The 21,710-nt window shown below is 34.9% G+C and overlaps 1 protein-coding gene and 1 pseudogene across 6 annotated transcripts in view; one reads left to right on the plus strand and one right to left on the minus strand.

The window, feature by feature from the left end:
* ROCK2 (Rho associated coiled-coil containing protein kinase 2) overlaps nucleotides 1-21,710 on the minus strand; it is a 165,679-nt gene that overhangs the window by 37,955 nt on the left and 106,014 nt on the right. For all 6 annotated transcript variants that reach the window (NM_001321643.2, XM_011510417.3, NM_004850.5 and 3 more), the window contains exons 5-11: nucleotides 17,989-18,249; nucleotides 9,541-9,685; nucleotides 6,609-6,747; nucleotides 4,370-4,461; nucleotides 3,485-3,644; nucleotides 1,253-1,313; nucleotides 742-753 (exon numbers count right to left, since the gene is read on the minus strand). In NM_001321643.2, the coding sequence (NP_001308572.1) occupies nucleotides 742-753; nucleotides 1,253-1,313; nucleotides 3,485-3,644; nucleotides 4,370-4,461; nucleotides 6,609-6,747; nucleotides 9,541-9,685; nucleotides 17,989-18,249 (870 nt within the window). The remainder of the gene's footprint in view (nucleotides 1-741; nucleotides 754-1,252; nucleotides 1,314-3,484; nucleotides 3,645-4,369; nucleotides 4,462-6,608; nucleotides 6,748-9,540; nucleotides 9,686-17,988; nucleotides 18,250-21,710) is intronic.
* Nucleotides 16,275-16,381, plus strand: RNU6-1081P (RNA, U6 small nuclear 1081, pseudogene; annotated as a pseudogene).

A 21,710-nucleotide genomic window follows, 5' to 3' on the forward strand; every position in this document is an offset into this window, starting at 1 on the left:
CTCAGCAGCTTTCCCTAGCTATGTAAGTCTTTAAACAAGCAAAAATTACCGAAACTATTAAATAATCCATTTTTGGAACATTATTTACTTTTTAAAGGATTTAACTTTTTGAGCTCCTGTGGTGCCTTTGGTAAAATATCAGGCACTTTACAAATGTTGTCTTGTTAATATTAACAAAAATCCTACAAAGATGGTAGCATTGTATCTACTTGATACAGAAAATGAAATTCAAAAAAGGTAAATAATCAGGCCAAGATGGCATAGCTAATAAGTCGCAGTGGCAAAAATCAATGCAGGTCTATTAGACTCCCATGGCAATGTACTTTCCATTATTCCTTCTAGTGATCAGGTTCTCCATGGTTTTAAATACTGCATCTATCTTAAGCAAAACTCTGTTTTCCCTTAATAAAAATATACAGGCTAATGAACTAGTCAAGTTTAATTGCTTTTGGCTACTACTGCATTACAATAATTTGAGCACACCAGTTATTATATGCTAATCAGAAATTTTTGCTGCCAGTTATATGTCCTTGATAAATAAAAACAAAATTACATAATATATATTTTAAACAGATCCACAGAACAATAATAAAAGAGATACTTGGTAGAAGAAAGGTTGGGAACTTCTCTCTTGGGTAGATGTAGTACTCCAAATGCTAGGTAGGATATGACTATATTTAAACTTTGCGAGAGTGATGAGCTTTTCTCAGTTTTTCAATATATCTGACAACATCAACATACCTCTTGACTTTCCTATTTAAAACAAAACAGAAAACACATTAAAATACTAAAATGATGGTTATATTCTGTAAAATTCCTAAAACACAAACCATAACAAAATTATCCAACCTAATGCTTTAGCTTTCATAAGTTTGAAGAAAAAATGTTTAGCATCATCATTTATGTGTATGTGTATATCCATGTATGATTTAGCTTTGCATTCATTTACAAATTATAGAAGTCAATTTTCTAAATGTTATTATAGTTGTTTACAAACTTATTCTATCACTTTTGGCACTCAATTAAGCCTAAAGCCATGTAGAAGTCCTCTTTGTACTAGCCATCATGTCTTGAATAATGATACTATTCACATAAATCAATCATTGCAATGCTATGTTAAACTGTATTACACAAGGAATGCCATCTCATGATTTTAAAAGGAGCATCAAATTAGCTTTTTAAAAACATGGGGATTACTAAAATATTTAAACATGAAACTAAAATAACTACAGCAGTAAAAATGTATACGTACTTCATTTTTCCTTGATTGTATGGAATCAGTTTCTCTACAAGATGGAGAGTCACTTAATAATCTACATGGAAGGGGGGAGAAAATAAATTTTTTCATTTCATTTTAATCTATGTGCTGTTTTATTCAAGTTATTCTCAGACTTAAATATCAAACACAGATTTCTCTCTTTTCCCTTCAACACATTATTTACAAATGAAGCAATATTTTTCCCTCAAGACATTTGTATCATTTTCAATAATTTAAAATGCTAGGGCCAGGCGTGGTGGTTCACACCTATAATCCCAGCACTTTGGGAGGTCAAGGCGGGAAAGATCACCTGAGGTCAGGAGTTCGAGACCAGTGTGATCAACATGGTGAAACCTTATCTCTACAAAAAAAAAAAAAAAAAAAAAAAAATTAGCCGGGCATGGTGGTGGACACCTGTAGTACCAGCTACTCGGGAGGCTGAGGCATGAGAATTGCTGGAACCCGGGAGGTGGAGGTTGCAGTGAGCTGAGATCGCACCACTGCACTCTAGCCTGGGCGACGAAGTGAGACTCCATCTCAATCCATCCATCAATCAATCAATCAAATGCTAAACTTTTCTTGCCTTTCCCTCTTACGGGATAACTAGTCTTTAATTTTGTTTGCACCAGACTCACTAAATGAAACTATACTTCCCACCTCTTCATCTTATTATCTCATTTTTCTTTCTTTTTTTAATCTGTCACCCAGGCTGGAGTATAGCGGTACAATCATAGCTCCCTGCAGCCTCGAACTCCTGGGCTTCTCAAATATCTTTAATGCCTCATTCAACTATTGAACAGCTTTCAGTGGCTTCCCAATGCCAGGCGGTCAAAAGCCCCTTAGCAGAGCACACAACAATCATCTGTTGATTATTCTTCCCCAAAACTCACTTTTTTTTTTTTTTTTTTTAAGACATGGTCTCATTCTGTCGCCCAGGCTGGAACAGCTCATTCCAACCTTGAACTCCTGGCCTCAAGTGATCCTTTCATCTCAGCCTCTGAGTACCTGGGATTACAGGCGCAAACCACCACATCTGGCTTTTTTGTTGTTGTTGTTGTTGTTGAGATGGAGTTTCGCTCTTGTTGCCCAGGCTGGCGTGCAATGGCACGATCTCGTTTCAACCACAATCTCCACCTCCTGGGTTCAAGCGATTCTCCTGCCTCAACCTCCAGAGTAGCTGGGATTACAGGCATGTGCCACCATGCCCAGCTAATTTTGTATTTTTTAGTAGAGACGGGGTTTCTCTATGTCGGTCAGGCTGGTCTTGAACTCCCGACCTCAGGTGATCTGCCCACCTCAGCCTCCAAAGTGCTGGGATTACAGGCATGAGCCACCGTACCCGGCTTTTTTTTTCTTTTGTAAAGACAGGGTTCCACTTTGTTGCCTAGGCTGGTCTAGAACTCCTGGGCTCAAGCTATCCTCCCATCTCAGCCTCCCAAAGTGCTAGGATTACATGTGTGAATCACCACACCTGGCCTCAACATATTTTCTAATCTTACATCCAATACTCACTTCAGTTAACCAATATTTATTGAATGATCTTGTGTCAGACTTTCTGCTAGATGCAGAGACTACAGGCAAGAAAACCACATAGTCTCATCGAGTCCTCCAAACTGTAATGACATAGTAGCACCTGCTCTATGTTTGAGTGCTACTGGACTCAATGCGAGTGCTCTGCTCCCAATGTATGCTCACATTCCAAACATTTGCTTCCACTATTCAACACCTCACAACTGTCCCCTAACCTCCCCACATTTCAGCCACTCAAAACCTTTTCTTGTTAGACTTGGCTAAAATGCCACCTCTTCCCAGAGGTCTGACCTATTTCTCCCTACTCCCACCCCAAAGAGATGACTTCTATTTTTCTTCTGAACCATCCCAGATTCTCTCAGCATCTTTCTTAAGGCAACTGTCACATTTTACCCTTCTTTATGACTATATAATTCTCTTATATCCTTCACGAGATGACAAGCTTCTTCAAAAATAGGTATTTGTTTTTACTGTATATCCCCAAAAGAATGTAGAATGGTGTCTTGCAATAACTTATAAATGAATAACATATAACATTCAGAAATAATAAAATAAAATTAAGAATTCTTCTGATGATAGTCCTTTTGGAAAAAACAAATTAATACTTTATCTCCTATAATTGAGTCTCAAAATAACACATCATCTTATAGCTAGATTCTAAAAACAGTAAAATTTAACAAATAATAAACCACATACAAATTTTCTCTATAGTAGGTAAATCCGATGAAAGGCAGCTGATTTCCAACAAAAGCTTTAGGAATTGGGAAGGTTTCTACATCTCCTTTGTCATCTTCAATGTCATCGAAATTGCTGCTGTCTATGTCACTGCTGAGTTCAGGTACTACAGGAGCTGCCGCTATTAAAAGAAAAGAAATAAATTATTTCATTCACAACCAAAATATATAAACCATCCTATTTTATTATGATGTATTATTTATTATTTAATAACACTATATAAATTTGTAGCAGCGCATTTGCCATTTTATCGATTCACAGAATTAAAATTTTGTAATTTATTGCTATATTAGATCACTTTTAAATATAGATTAAACAAGGAAAGCAACATATTATTCTAGTTGTTAAAAATTACAAGCAGCAATAATTTGCACAGAATTTAGAGACCTCCATTTTCTACAATCTCGAAACAGAAATATTTCTTACCCTTAAAATGAATCAATGTCATATATACATAGTAAAAATAAGTTACTATGCTTACAGCAATATTTAGCAGAGTATGGTCTCCATAAATAATTGTTGATTTATCAAGTCAAACGCATTTAAATTAAAGGATTGCATTCCCTTGATTCTGAAAATTATTGAGATCTACAAAGCTTAACTTGGCAAATTAAGAAATGTGTAATGTTTATTGTAAAAGTGTTGAGAAATATTGCTAATAGTTTGCAAAGATATTGAGGAATATTGTTATAAATATTGCCACAGAACAAATTTGAAATGAAATTTCTCAATTTAAAAATGAGTTAGCATTAAGTGTTATCAAATATGCTTGTTATTTCAAAAAAGGAATCAACTTATGAGTTTCAGAATGTGATGGAATGAAAATATTTAGGTTTATTGACTTACTTTCTCTTATGTTATCCCAATGCCACTGATCATTCTTAAAGAAAGGATGCTGTCTGATTTCTTCCACCCCATTTCTCCCAAGTCGTACCTCCCTAAACAATGCAGTTAAAGATTGTATTATTTAAAAATTATAAAATAAAAAGATTAACTCTATGTCAACAGTTTAACCAAAATAAAGATCTCAAGTAAATTTGAGATATTTGTATTAAAAGCTTCAGCTTAAATGTTTCTCAAAAATAAGCAATCCCAAGTTACAGTATGTGATCTCTTTAGACAGATTTAAAAAACTGTAATGCACAATAAATGTCATGAAAAGTAAAATGTTTCTGTCTATAGTTTGCATCAAATGAAAGTACGTTAAGACTATCAAGTAAAAAAATTCACCTGCATGTGCCACGACTGAATGACAATAACTTCAGGATATAAACAGACATAGGTCTAACTTTCGGCAGAGAAGAGTTATTCAAAACTTCCCTAATAGAAATATTATTTTAAAAATCTCTCCCTTTCCTAAAAAGAATGCATATATTATGTTTGAAGCTATCCATATTTATTCTGGTAAAGTATATCTCTACATGTATATTAAACTTATCATTCTGCATATATGAAAAATGTTACAAAGAATTTCATTCTTTGACCCTCTGAGTCTTCAATGAAGACTGTATGGAAATAGAGAGCATCTGTGTTATACAAGGCCCTGGAGCTATGTTTAACATAAATAGGAAAACTGTAGACCTTAAGGGGAAGTGCTCCTAGCCATATTTACGGCATTAACTCGTTTTCAAAATATCAGTTTTCCACCTATAATCATTCCTTAGATTGCACACCCCTGCCCCATGACTACTAATTCAAAACTTTCATGAATAACACTCCTTTCATTAACATAAAACAGGTGTACCCTGTTGTACAATTTATCATCCAGCACAAATTATGGCCATCCCTACCAATCCTGCTCAGTGCCCACATCAAACATCATACAGGCTGTGTTCTTCTTCCACCCTATCCTCTTAGAAAGAGGCGTCTCTCCTTCTTTTCAAAGATAACATCTCCTCATCTCCAGGTCTTAATATATAAATCGTCATTTCCATTTTACTTTGAGTTTATCAGCACCAACTGCTCGTCAACCATGTAATTGACAGGTATTAAAGTTTTATTCTACAAATGACTGACAAATAAAAATAATTATCCTCTTTGATGAAAAAAAGAAAAAACATTTTACAATGTTCAGTTTGACGAGAAGAAAACAATTTTGTTAATGGAAATACATACTGCTGTAACTTCTCTGGGGATCAATTTTGTAACATCACTTAAGTTTAAAATGTGTATCCCAGAATTCCACCTTTAAGATTTTATCCTATAAAAAGTATGCAGAGATGAATGTGTGAGGATAGTCACTGCAGTAATGCTTGTAACAAATTAATAAGCAATAAGATGTGCTAAGGAATCTTAGCATATTAAAGCTAGAAATGCCCTTAGTTTTGTAATTTGAGACCACTGTTTTATGGATGAGTAAAATTATTTCCCAAAAAAGTAAAAATAATTTCCCCAAGATCATAAAGCTGATGTGTAAGTTTGAACGAGGGTGTGAGCATCCTCTTGTATATGTTGGTCCTTTGACAGGATGACTCCTATCACAAATATAAAACGGGACATTAGAAAAAAATGGAATGGGGTGAACAAAGAAGAGAAATCAAATAGTTTTCTAGCTTATCTTTTGGGGGCAGGTTTTCACACCTTTGTTCATCTATTTTGTTTTTAAAAGTATGGAATTTCCAGGATAGTCTTGCTCATATTCAAATGCAAATTAAAAAGGGTTGGGAAGGAAGCACTCCCAAGTCTAACACAAATAGTTTTTAAGATTATAACCTGTTGAGTATTTATCTACACAAAATACTCTCAAAAGTTATATAAGAGTAATATGGAATAACCAGCTTGGAGGATAAAATGTGAACAACACGAAAGTTTTATTTCTTTCAAATCCATTGTTTTACCACGTTCTATTTTTTCCTTTTTAGACATGAGGGTTAAGGTTAGAGTTCGATTACAACTGGGCTGTACACACATAACAACAAGGTAGCCCAACACCAGGCTTAGCAGAAGGAAAAGGCTAACCCAGAATTAGATGCTACTTGGGTAATGAGAGGCAGACTGATTTCATATGTTAATAAGCTAGGCATGCTTTTATTTCTATAAATTTAACATAAAGGGCTTCTCTACAAAGAAATTCAATGTACATTACCTATCTGTTAAGAAAGCACAGATGAGATTCTTTGCATGTTTGGAAATTTCTGCATCTTCAGGGAAACACAGTGAATTCTTATGATCCATAATTTTGCTATATGTTCCTACAAGTGAATCCGCATAAAATGGAGTATCCCCTAAAATTTCAAGAAAGAAGATACTGAATGTAACAGAGAATGCAAAGGAAACACTTTTCACCTAGTACTTAAATATGTTAAGTTTAAATTTGTCACATGCAGGGAAGAACAAATATTCTACGGGCACAGAGTCCCAGTCAAAACAACAGACATATTGTTATATTCTAAATCAAAGAATATATTTAAAATTTAACACCACCAATGATCCCTCATCCCTTAAAAGCAAAATAAAATCAATGATAACTCCCGAATTTGTTGAGTTTTTTTTTTTTTTAATTTAAGAGAGGAAATGTTTTACTGAATAGTCCAAGAGAAAGAGTTCCTATGTGGGGTCAGATCAGTCAGGGTCCTTTAATGCTTGGGCTGGATCAGCATTTTGAAATCATTCTCTAGAGATATGTTATACAACACAGTTGCCACTAGCTATAGGTGGCAATTTAAAGTTAAAATGAATTAAATAAAATGAAAAACACAATTCCCTAGTTATACTAGCCACATTTTAAGTCATGTTGTAACCAATGGTCACCACACTGGACAGCACAGATTTAAATCATTTACATCATGATAGGCCAGACAGGGCTGCTGCAAGAGTTAAACCAGCTCTATTATTTTACATAAGAGGAAGTCAGGCCCAGAGAGACAGACTGTGACTAGCTTAAAATGACATATAGCTAGAGTTGAAAGAGGGAAGAAATGGTCTCCCCATGCAGTGTTCTTACTAATGACTGTAATAGATGCACTGAAGCAAGTATAAAGATGGAAAATGTTGAAGGCACCATTTTGGCCAGTACTCAGCTAAAGCCACAAGTGTTACAGGCTCTGCCAGTACACCTACACTACAAGTAACTTTAATGAAAACCTGACTTTCCCAAATCAGCCAATCCAAAACTTCAAAAAATGTCTTCAGGTAGTTATTTTTGTTTGTGTTCAAAGAAAGGTGGAGGGAAGTGATGAATTCAAGATTTTATTTTTTATTTTTTAATTTATTTTTTAACTTTTTAAACTTTCTTATGTTAAAAATTTTTTATTTATTTTAATTTTACTCTTTTATTATTACTTTTTTAGACACAGTATCTCATATGTTCCCCAGGCTGGCCTTGAGCTCCTGGGCTCAAGTGATCTTCCTGCCTCAGCCTCCTGAAGAGCTGAGCTAGCACCACCCAGCCTGGCAGTCGTGAGAATTTAAATGGCCTCTTCATCAAATAAGCCAAATTACTTCCTCTAAAGTACCTTATTTTGTAAATCCCTAGGAAAGCGTGTCTAGGCAAAAAAGAGAATATACTCTATTTTCAAAAGATTACAAGACACAACCTAGGCCAGAGATGGGAGAACGGACAGCTACATGGGACCATATGATGCGTACAAACAGACTCACTTTGAAAGGCCCAAAATAAAGTAGGTCATACTATGACATGAAACAAAGCATAACAAGATCAATGCTACATACACAAGACAGTCATCAAGAGAAAACAATTTATGCCACAAAAAAGTTCAAGAGTAATTATTATTTAAATTTGCAATTTACCGAAAATTTCTGATTTTTTAGCAATAACCATAGTCTTTTATCATACAGGTTTTACACTACCATTTCTTTTAGGCTCATCTTTTAGAAAATATATTCTCTAATTCTAAAAAGTATATTTTTAACTCTAATTAATTCCATATTATGTTATTAGCCTTGACATACTTGCCTTGGAAAGTGGATTTAACTACATTTTCAACCCTCATCCCCATGCCACGTCACTGGCTTCCTTAGCCAGAAGGTACTAGTATTTTTATGACCCCAGTACTTACAAATGGGAAACATTAGGAATGAAATCTATGATGTAAAGAAAGTTTTGAAATACTTCAGCCTTTCAAATTTTGATTTGGTCATAAAAAAGAAGAAATAACTAAATCTGTCTCTGAGTTTTCTAAAACTGAAATGTTATTACAAAATATATTTATCTTGATAATCAAATGGTAAACACTGTATTTATAATTTATTTCACGAGAATTACAAACAATATATATGCAAGAAGTAAATGGAAGGAATACAGTTGTTTACGAAATCAATTATGTAATTACATAAACTAAAGAGATTTTTACTTCTCTACTACTATTGGGACAAATATTAAGTCTTATATTTAAATATTATAACAAATATGATTGATCAAGAAAATCTTAGAGGGCTAGGTGTGGTGGTTCATGCCTAAAATCCCAGCACTTTGGGAGGCTGAGGTGGGAGTAACACTTGAGGTCAGGAGTTTGAAACTAGCCTGGGCAACATGATGAGACCACTCCCTACAAAAAATGAGAAAAATCAGCCGGGTTTAGTGGCATGTGCCTGTAATCCTAGCTACTCGGGAGGCAAAATGGGATGATCACTTGAGCCTAGAAGGTCAAGGCTGCAGTGAGCCACATTCATGCCACTGCACTCCAGCCTGGGCAACAGAGCGAGACCCTGCCTCAGAAAAAAAAAAAAAAAAAAAAAAGAAGGAAAATCTTAGAATGAAGGCCCACTGAAGCTGTAAACTTGCTTCTTGTTCTAATATTTTAATTCAAAAATGTCTGATATATTTTTAATTCTTTTTACATTCTACTTATTCTATTTAATCACCATGCCAGTATCAGGCTTGGTATTAATTTTCCAATTAACAGTCTGCCCTATCAGATACTACTAATTCAAAGTTTCCAGAAATCTAATTCTTCCCTACGACAAAGGCAATTAATTTCCTTATATTCTCAAATTCTTGACTGAAATAAAGTATTATAAGAAGCATTTTGAAAAAAGAAGTTAAAATATTTACTTACCCACTAGCATCTCATAAAGGAAAACACCTACAGACCACCAATCACATTCTCGCCCATAGAAACCATCACCCCCTTGTGATTTCAGAACCTCAGGTGATATATAATCCGGTGTTCCAACTGCTGTATCACAATGTACCATGCCTGTCTGCATGAACAGGAGAGATAAAGAAAAAACAGTTCAGTGTAAAAACACACACTTATAAATGCAATGAATCCATTTATTACTAGATATACAATGATTACATATTGCTAACCAACAGAACTTCACTGCTGACATGACTTCAGGATACAGAGAATAAATACACTGGAAAATGCATTAAAATGCCTAAATTATGGGAGATAGGAATAAACTGTGAACTCTAAAATACAGGAGGCTTCCTCAATGAAAGAAGAAAAAAGTTTGGTAAAATGGAGATTCCATGCAAATCAACAACTTTTCTTTTTCTTATTTCTTACACTACAGTTATGAGGTTAGTACAAAATGTGGTCTTAAGGACACTGACCCAGGAAAAAGAATCATTAGAGAAAGGAAGCTTTCATATTTCCAGAATAAACTGAAGTAATCAAGATAACAAAGGGCCCCAGTTTGGAGACTGAATAAAGAATTGGCTCTTGTATTACCAAGAAAAAAAATGAAGAAATAGATCAAATGTTTAAATTAAAAGATCTTAGAAGTGTGAAAGCTATACTTCCAAGCTATATATTTAGAAATATGCAGCTGTGGCATCAATATATTTGGCATGATGATTTTTAAAAACCACTTATCTGTGTTTAGTTTCAGCAGATAATAAAATAATCCCTCCCTGATGTCTTTTTGACAAGTAAAATAACCATTATAGGGGTGTGTGTGTCTGCATGCTGCAAAATTAAATGACTAGAGAAGTATGGTGCTAAATGGTATTTCTTTACCTCTAGCTCTGTCCAACTTGCAATGATTTGAGAGATTAAGTGCCCTTTATTTCCTTTACCTGCCCAGTAAAGAGTGTGTTGCCCACATTCCTCATAAGGAAGCTATACAAACTACCTAATATTGAGTATTATGGCTACCTTGAGAAAAGGAGGTTGAACACATTTTGTAAACCTAATTTATGTAACTTTATATAAAACTTGTTATAGAAAAGATCTTTTCATTCATTCTCAAATTGGCAGAACTAACTCAATGGCTTTATTTTCCCACATATATAGCAAATAGAGAATAAAAGCTATTTTAGTGTGAATAGAAATTTAAAAATAAATGTTATGGAAATAATTGAGCAAACCATGGGAGTAACACTTTGTGTGGATTATTACAAAGGACAAATTATGAACAAGACAGTGCCTGACTTCAAAAGGCAGGGTATACAATTAATTTTTATCATGGACTGTCCTATAGTCTAGACTTCTGTTGGGGGAAAAAATCAATAGAGGCTTATTAGGTTAAAGAAAATTTCCTTATTTCACATACATCCACAGAAATTAAGCTTTTAAAAAATTATATGAGACTTAGCTACTAAAACCAACTTACTGGAGACACACACACAGACAGACACAAACACACACATACAACCAAAGGAAAAATTACTTAGCATTCAAAGGTTCAGAGGAAGGAGAAGAAAGGGCAAGATAAGAAAGAATTGGCATAAAGTTAGGCTGTAAAGGACGGATAAGCTAGGGTTTAAAGGAGAGAGGATGGTATGACAGGTTAGATAGAAAAAAAGAGCATAAAGAAACAGGAACAACCTGGTATAAACTTGTTCAAGAAATGCAGTGAAATCCAAATCAACTAAATGTAAAGTTCTACACAATGAAGACTGGAAGGATAAGCTGCATATCAGTGTGAATAACCACTTGCAGAATAAATACTTGGGTAGGACTAAAGATTTTTATTGGTTATAAACTATTATATTCTATATAGTAATAGTAATTACTAATAGTAAACTATATTCACATACTAAACTATGTGAATAACACTCTGCTTTTGGAAAATTAATGTTCTAACCATAATTTTTGGATAGCATACTGAAGTTTTTAAAACAAACATTTGAAAATGATATTTAAAAATACTTAAAAAGTGTCTTATGTGGAAGCCCTCAAATTATATGAATATGAAATCTACATTTATAACAAGTCTCTAACCCTGTTTAAATGAACTGTGAGAAGGATAAGTAAAAAACTAAAGAGATTGGTTTACCAACAGTGGGTGGGTGGGCAAAGGATGGAAAGAAGGGAGTAATGGGAACAGGGTATGGGAATATGGAGCAAGTGACTCTTCTCTGAGCATACATTTTGCATGGCTCTATCTCCTAAAACCAGAGGAAACTTCACGTATCCAAAAAAAAAAATAAACATTAAAACCAATCAGGATGTGGGGGGAACTCTAAATGCAACACAAAAAAAAAAAACAAGAAATGAACTTGTTTTATAAACAAATAATATAACCACATTAGAGAAGGTAGAAAGAAACAAAATAAACTAAGTAACTATGGAAAATAACATCTTAACACAATACTGTAAGACTAATTAAAAACAGAAAGAAGTGTACAAAAATAATATATTTTGGTTAGCAAATCTGTTTGTCACAGGGATAAGGACTGACAATTCTGAAATAATTTTATGTGTATACTAGGGTTCAACTGGTAAGTAAATATATTGCAGATAATAAGAGCCAAGAGTTTTACTGTTCACGAAAGAAATTACAAAAAAGAAAGGAGGGAGACAAGAATAAACCCAGTGGTGCTGGACTTGAATCAGAGTTATCAGTATGAGCTCCTAATTTTTAATATGCTATATATACAGACATATTCAGAATTAAATATAAACATGTGTGCATGTGGTTTATGGTTTAGTACATTTAGTATATACAATATATACCCCCTAACTCTGTCAGCTGGCAGGGCCTAGAAGTAATGACAGTCCAGAAGCAATGAGCACATCTAGCACCCAATTATTGATTTATAAATACCATTCTTTAATAAAAAGAATCAGAGCTTCTTGGAGAAGTGATTCCAGAGGTGAGACAGAGAAAATATAAGACAAGTCTTGAACATTGTATAGTGTCAAAAAATAAGAAAATGCTCCAAAAGGGGGATATGTGGAAAGGACAAAGAAGTCAACCTAAGGAGCTTTCACAAGATGGCAAACTTTGGACTGAGTTTCAAAATATGAATAAGAATTTTCCAGGCAGATTTTTAGACAGCATATACGTAGGCCAAGAATCATGATATATCATAGTACAGAAAGAACTACATGTAACTCAAGACTTCTAAGCCATAAAGTACTGTCAAATGATAGAGAATAGGGTACAAAAGCAGGCAGGGGGTCGTATCAGAAGAAATTTCATGTGACAAGCTAAGGAGTTTGAACTTAATTCAGTAGATGACAGAAATCTACTGAAGGGTATTAAGCTGGAAAGCCAGATAATCAAGTATGCATTTTCAAAAGGTTTCTCAAATTATTTTATTTTAAATGTATCAGATTAAATGTGTATTTTCTAAATATATTTGATGTGTTATCATGGTCAAAAAATATCATAAATCGAGATAACTTACTGAAAACACAAAACTGGTCAATCAGAAATCTTGGAGTTGGTCTAAAAACAACTGAAATGCTTCCTATAAAGGTGGAAAAAAAACTGTAAATGGAATTTTTAATAACAGAATCACTGAATGCTTCTGTTTTAGGAAATTCTTCTCTTTTCAGTAAATTCAGTGTTTTCAGTAAATTCTCTGAATTTATGATATTTTGGGCCATAATACATCAAATACATTTAGCAAATACATATTTAATATGATACATTTAAAATAATCTGAGAAACCTTTTGAAAATGCATACCTTTTTTTAAAAAAATTACTTAAAAAGAAAAGCTACCAGTTAGCTTTTAAAAAATTATATCTTCTATTTAGTCAAATGGTATATGCTAGAATATTAATGGATAAAAATCGTCTTCAGGTAATTTTTTTTTTTCTTCAGGTAATTTTTTTTTTCTTTTTGAGACAGAGTCTCGCTTTGTCACCCAGGCTGGAGCACAGTGGCACGAACTTGGCTGACTGTAACCTCCGCCTCCTGGGTTCAAGCGATTCTCCTGCCTCAGTCACCTGAGTAGGTAGGTGGGACTATAGGCCCGCGCCATCATGCCCGGCTAATTCTTGTGTTTTTAGTAGAGATGGGGTTTCACCATACTAGCGAGGCTGGTCTCGAACTCCTGACCTCAGATGATCCACCCACCTCAGCCTCCCAAAGTGCTGGGGTTACAGGCATGAGCCATCGTGCCTGGCCTCTTCAGGTAATTTAAAATACTAACATATAAAGTGGTCTTAAAAGGAGGTAAAGGTTGCTATAAAATGCATGACACGCAAAGAGTACACCCAACATAGCAGTAGCTCTCAACTTTTACTGAGACACATCTACATATAAATATCTTACAATGTGACTCTCACTCACATTTAGATAAGTTTTTTTTTTCCTGAGAGAATAAGGGTGATGGCAACTGCATCCAGAAAGTTGTGTAATATACAATTTATCAATTATATAATTTAATGAGATACTATTACTCTTAATTCTGATAGTGACAAATCATTTTAGTCCTTGTAAGTTTATAGTTGTATTTTATTTTTGCTTTTATCCATGGCATAACATTTTATAGGAAGTCAGGATGGCTGAAAAATAATTTGAGCATATATGTCTATATTATAGATAAAGTATTGGCTAATTTTTCCTGTAAAGGGCCAGACTCTAAATATTTTGGCTTTGTGGGCCACACAGGGTCTCCGTCACATATTTTTCTTCTTTTTTTTAAACAAACTTTTAAAAATGTAAAAGTTATTTCTGGCATGTAAGCTGTATAAAACCAAGTCACAGTCCCTTCTGTAAGTGGATGAGAATAAAACTATGGACATTTCTTTTTTTTTTTCAGACAGGGTCTTGCTCTGTCGCCCAGGCTGGAGGGCTGTGGCCTGGCACGATCTCGGCTCACTGCAACTTCCACCCCCTGGGTTCAAGCAATTCTCATGCCTCAGCCACCCAAGGAGCTGGGATTACAGGCATGCACCATCACGCCTGGCTAATTTTTCTGTTTTTAGTAGAAACGGGGGTTCACCTTGTTTCCCAGGCTGGTCTCGAACTCCTGGCTTCAAGCAGTCTGCCCACCCTGGCCTCCCAAAGTGCTGGGATTACAGGTGTGAGCCACCACAGCTGGCCAAAACTATGGACATTTCTAATGGCTTTGGTATAGTAACAATAATCAAACAAAGGCACATGAAGTGTTGAGCCTTAAACTTGCAATAAGACTATTCATGTTAAAAACTAATAGAAAATTATAAATCCAATGTACTATAGTTTTTAATAAAAAACTCTTTTGTTCTTAAACATTGTATAATTATCCTTAGTATTGCTTGAGGAATGGAGATCTGGGGTAAAACAACATTTTAAAAGTTCAGTATTTGTTAAAGAACACCTTTGACTACATCAGAATGAAGGAGTTCTATTCAAACAAAGGAAGGCATAGATGGGTAACACAATGGAAGATGATATCAGCAATATCTATGGAATCACTATCTAGATTATATAAGCAATCCCTGTACATGAACAAGAAACCAATTTAAAAGAGTTAAAAGATATAAACAGGTAATTCACAAAACAGAAATGACTGACAAATATATGAAGAGAGGTTTGTCATCATTAGTTACAAGATTAACATAACTGGTCAGGCACAGTGCCTCACACCTGTAATCCCAGCATTTTAGGAGGCTGAGGCAGGAGGATCACTTGAGCCCAGGAGTTTGAGATCAGCCTAGGCAACATAGAGAGATACTGTCTCTATGAAATATTAAAAAATGAACCAGGCATGGTGGTGTACGCCTGTTGTCCCAGCTACTCAGGAGGCTAAGGAGGGAGGATCCCTTGAGCCCAGGGGTTTCGGGCTACAGTGAGCTATGATTACACCACTACACTCCAGCCTGGGCAATAGAGGAGACCGTGTCTACAATAACAACAAAAAAAGATTAATGTAATTTTTACAAATCTTATTTATTTTTTTCTTGGCAACCTTAGTCCAATAAGATGAACATAATTGTTTAAAGATACTACTGTATATCAACGGAACTGGTAACCCTTAGAGAACTGAATAGTAAGTGTTAGCAAGGATATGGGGAGACAAGATCTCTCATGTACTAGTAGTAAGTAGTTAGAAACATTCACAGCCATTCTGGAGATCGGGCAATTCTTTCTTTATGTACCCTCTGATGTAGTAGTTTCACTTCTATGTTTATATTTAGAGAACCCCCTGTAAGCATATACATGGGACATATATAAAGATGTTCAAGATAGTATTGTTGTTAGCAGGGATTTGGAGGTGACCTAGAAATCGAACATCCAAGGAATAATAAGGTAAATTGATTGATAGATACTATGGAATACTAAGCAGCAGAAAGAAGCAATGAACTAACTGACATCAGGGAGAGATATAAAAACAATGCTGAGTAACAACAGCAAACAAAATGACATCTATATCAAGATACTGTTTATACCAGCTAAGAACATATAGTACACTATACTAATAATCTGCAAAAACGTATGGTGAACATATACTAGCTATCTATTAGGGAGAGGAAAGACAGAATGAGACAGAAACTGAATGGAGGAAAATATAAAATAAAAGCAAGATGAGGCCTTCGTGTTGACTACTCATGACAATAAACTATGAACCAAGGAGTATAATTAACTCAACTGTCTGTATCTGAGTTTAAAAACAGTAAACCGTGCTCACTTAGGCAGCACATATACTAAAATTAGAATGATACAGACAAGATTAGCATGGCCGCTGCACAAGCATAACATGCAAATTCTTGAAGCAGTCCATATTTTTTAAATTTATTAAAAATAATAAATAAAAATAAATAAAAGTAAAAATAGTAAACAAAATTAGGCCATGTTTTACTTTGCCTTATAAAGAGACAATTTAAGTATTTGCTTACATGCTTATACAATTATTCTGTAGGTACCATATTCTATCCCGTTCCCCATATTCTTCTTCTCTACACCTTGCTCTCCTTAACCACCCTTATCTTCCCTAAAAATATGTGGTATGATTTATTTGTCTGTACCCTAGTGCCAAAAGTTTTTGGTTTAATGAAAATCGCAATACATTCATGGAAGTACAACACAAAAACATCTTCTCTTATGTATAGCAGACATAAGTTTAGCATTCTATTAGGAAATTATTTCATACTTCATTTTCATTAAAGATAATTTGCACTGTTAATCATTTCACACTATATTATACCAAATACCACAAGAGGGAGCTTTGGGTACAATAAAAAACTCCACCTATTAAACATTGATTAAGGGTTGCAGAATATAACAGACTCTATCAAAAAGACCAAAAATATATAGGGATATTAAGTTCTAGCTGGATAGATTAAGATAGACAAAAATGGCCCATAAAGTATAGCACAAATTCTGACTATGTGAGGAAATTATGGACATTATGACATTAAAGAATGATCAGTCAGGTCAGGATTATCAGAAGGAACCTTAAAGCCGAGGTAAAATCTGAGATGAGCTTAGAAGTTGGAATGCTGATGAAGGTAGAATGATCAATAAAAGTGAATGTCATACAGGTGGCATGAACAAGTTAAGAGGTAGAGAGAAAATTACCTTAACTCAAAATAAACATTTGACTAGGTAACTACCAAGAAATAAGATTGGCTTTATAAGCATACTGGAAAGTTATAAAAAACATACAAAAGATGAAATACAGTTTGCTGTCAATATATATTAACATTTATAAGTCGACTCCTAGGACCAACAGGGTAATACAAAGGAAACAGAACCGATCCCTCTCCATCAAGAATTACTTACTGCACACTTACAGAGAAAAGGGCAAGATATATAAATTTTACAACCAAAATAAATCAGTATCATAATTAGCTACGAGGTTAATGCCACTGAACCTATCAATCATAATATGAATTGATCAACAGGTAAAGCATCGGAACAGATGATGTTCCCAAATTTATTCTGTGTGGTTGATGCAGAGGGAGTGACGAGGAGGTTGTAACATAAATTTCTTTACTTACTTTTACCTCCTCTTAAAGAAAAAAATGCAGAAGTAACAATGGTGGTGAAAATACCTATTTACCTTAATTTAGATTTTGTGTCCTTCTTCACCTAAATTATACATATGAACCGGTTTTGATTGGTAGCAAATGCTTGTCAACAGTCTATGAGGAAGATAACTAAGCTAAGTTTTTATTTCTCTTGATAAGTACTCTACAGCTACATAAATGATTACAAAAGAAATGTTTTAAGTTGGTTAAGGAAATGTTTTAAGTTGGTTATATCTTGTTTGGGTGCTATACAGTTATGAAAACTAAATTTACCTTTGTTCAAAACTATGAAGACCTGACTTAAAGTATTTCATTTATTTCTGTCCCTCAAAACACTATCGTTTTAAATAATTTGCTTACTTACTTCATCCATCTTCATACACGTGCCAAAATCTGCTAATTTTAGATGTCCATGTTTATCCAAGAGCATGTTGTCAGGCTTCACATCTCTGTGTATTAAACCCATGGAGTGTATTGCATCCAGAGCAAGAACAACTTCAGCAGTGTAAAATTTGGCCCATTTTTCAGGCACATCATAATTACTCATAAGGTTTACAAGGTCTCCACCAGGCATGTACTCCATTACCATGTACAGATACCTATCATCTTGAAAGGCATAAAAAAGCTGGAAAACAAAAGGAAAAGGAAAAATTTTTAAAAACCCAAACCAAAAATCATAATCAGAACAAAAATTTAAAAAACTATTATTACTATTGAAAAAGGCAAACTATTTTATAACCAAAACTAAAATTTATGAGATCTTTTATTTTAGACTCAGGCGTATGTAATGGATAAACAGTATCAGACAAAATTTTTATATGGGTACCTTATTCAAGCATAAATGAATATTTCCCCTCATGGAGAACACAATACAAAAGAAACTATTTAAATAGAAACATTTAAGAAAGAAACAAACAGGAATAAGGAACATTAAAGGTGAAAGAATGACAGAAGAATTCACTATAATTTAAAAAAAACAGCTTTCTGAACAAACTACTGCACCTAACTCACACAGAAAAGAGCAGAGGAGGTAGGAGCAATTTAAAAAAATCTAGAGATACTAGATTCAACGGACACAAGAAGAGGGAATAAGCCCCATATCAATGGAAAGAATGAGTCACTGGTAGCCATATTTGGAAGACGCGTAACTCTTCTCTCCCCTTCCCCATCACCTTGTTCATGATAAACAAGAGACATTCAGTTTACTGAGACTATAGCAGTAGCATTGGGACCAGAGAAAGAAGATACCAGTCCAGGTTGCTACTGACCCCCCAAACAGACAGAGAAACCACAATGTCTGAAGAAAACCTATCTGTACATTCTACCAAACAGTATGTCACACCCCTCCCAGAAACAAGCAATGCAAACACAAGTCTTCCACAGACAAACAGGGAAAAGATAAAACTAAGAATCAATATTTGAGAAAAACCAACATCATGAAATAGAGAAAACAGCAATTTGAGAAACAAAAATAATACTCAAGGAAATGTTTAATAGGACAAACCGAAGACAGCTTTAAAAATGTAAAATCAACCAGGCGTGGTGGCTCACACCTGTAATGTCACCACTTTGGGAGGCCGAGGCAAGTGGATCACCTGAGGTCAGGAGTTCGAGACCAGCCTGGCCAACATGGTGAAACCCCGTCTCTACTAAAACTATAAAAAATTAGCCAGGCGTAGTGGCAGGCACCTGTAATCCCAGCAACTTGGGAGGCTGAGGCAGGAGAACTGCTTGAACCCCGGAGGCGGAGGTTGCAGTGAGCTGAGATTATACCATTGCACTCCAGCCTGGGCAACAAGAGCAAAACTCTGTCTCAAAAGAAAACAAAAAATATATGTAAAATCGATACCCTCAAAAGGGTAACAGATGTCACATCAATTAAACATTAGGCTGATATGAGGACCAAAAAAACCCTGAAGTCTAAGAATTCACTATATGACTGATGATAGACAAACATTACAGTTAGAAAACTGAAAAAATGAATGTTCTCTGAACACACTGAAGGAGTAAGAGATGAAATACAGAGCAATGTCAGAAAAGCACCAACGTCTACCTAAAAGTAGTTCTAGAGAGTATGTAGACTAGAACAAAGGAATAGTAAACAAAAATTTCTAGAAATGAGTAAAGTTAAAAATCTAAGATCAAGAAAACCTCTAAATGAAACTGATACTTTACACAGCTAGGGCTAAATTTTCAGAAATCCAAGAGAAAAATCCTGTTTCCAAAAAATGCCATATACACAAAAACATAAAATCATATTGGCAACAAACCTCTCAGCCAACATACTGAATATAAAAGGCAACATAGCTATATCTTCAAAGTTTTGAGGGAAAATAATTTTGATTCTAGAATATGGCAGACAAGAAAACAAAGGAGATGACAAAATGAAATTTTATAATTGACAGACCATTTTCAAAAAAATTATTCAAGAATATAGTTTGACAAAATGAAGAATAGCTGGGCACAGCAGTGGCTCATGCCTGTAATCCCAGCATTTTGGGAGGCCGAGGCAGGCAGATCACCTGAGGTCAGGAGTTTGAGATCAGCCTGGCCAACATGGCAAAACCCCCATCTCTACTAAAATTACAAAAATGAGCCAGGAATGGTGGCGCATGCCGTAATCCCAGCTAATCGGGAGGCTGAGGTGGGAGAATTGCTGGAACCCGGGAGGCAGAGGTTGCACTGAGCCGAGATCGTGCCACTGCACTCCAGGCTGGGCGACAGAGTGAGACTTTGACTAGCGGGGAGAAAAGGAATAAATCCAAGTAAGAGGATTATTATGTGAGACATAATTTTAAAATGGAAGGCATCAGGATGAAGAGAAGGAAGAAATAGGAAAGCATGATAAGGCTGGTTACCAAATTGAGAAAGAGTGTGTGTGTGTGTGTGTGTGTGTGTGTGTGTCTGTTGTGTGTGTCAGTGTACAACATGTTTAAATGATTAAAGGAAATATGAAAATAAATGAAGAGACCACCTCATGTACACGGATTGGAAGAATCAATACTATCAAAATGGCAACTCTCCCCAAATTGATCATTATATTCAATGCAATCTCCATCTCAATCCCAGTGGGTCTTTTCCAAAAACCAACAAGCAGGTCCTAAAATTTATTTGGAAATGCAAAGGACTCAGAAGAGCCAAAACAATCTGGAACTAGAACAAAGCAGGAGGACTTACATTTCCCAATTTCAAAACTTACTACAAAATTACAATAATCAAGACAATACTGGCCAGGCACGGTGGCTCACGCCGGTAATCCCAACACTTGAGGAGGCCTAAGTGGGAGGATGACTTGAGGCCAGGAATTTGAGACCAGCCTGGGCAACAAAGTGAGACTGTGTCTCTATACAAATATTAAAAATTAGCCAGGAATGGTCGCACACCTGTAGTCCCAGCTACTTGGGAGGCTGAGGTGGGAAGATCGCTTGAGCCCAGGATTTTGAGGTTTACAGTGAGTTACAATTGCACCACTGTACTCCAGTCTGCGCAACACAGTGAGATATGAGTACTGGCATATGAAAAGATACATAGATCGATTGAACACAGTTGTATAGAACTGAGAACCCAGAAATAAATCCTTGTATTTATGATCAATAAATTTGTTGACAAAGGTGCCAGGGCAATTTAATGAGGGAAAAAATAATTAAAAAAAAAAAGTTTGAACAACTGGATAGCTACAGCCAAAATATTTTTAGACCCTTACCTCACACCATAAGTCAAAAATTAATTCAAAATGAATTATAGGCCTAAATTTAAGAGTTAAAACTACAAAAATCTTAAAAAAACACAGGAGAATATCTTAATGAACCTAGATTAGACAAAGGTTTCTTAGATATAACACCAAAAACGCAACTGACAAAATAAAAAACTGATACATGGTATTTCATCAAAATAAAAATTTTCTGGCTTGAAAGATACTATTAATAAAATGAGAAGATGAACCACAGGTTGGGAGGAAATATTTACAAGTGATATATATATAGCATTGGTCATTAGGGAAATGCACACTAAAACCACAATGACATACCACTTAACACCCATCAGAATAGCTATACTAAAAAAGACAGAAAATAGTTAAGTGTTGAT

This window comes from Homo sapiens, chromosome 2 (assembly GCF_000001405.40).
Source record: "Homo sapiens chromosome 2, GRCh38.p14 Primary Assembly".
NCBI classification, from domain to species: domain Eukaryota; kingdom Metazoa; phylum Chordata; class Mammalia; order Primates; family Hominidae; genus Homo; species Homo sapiens.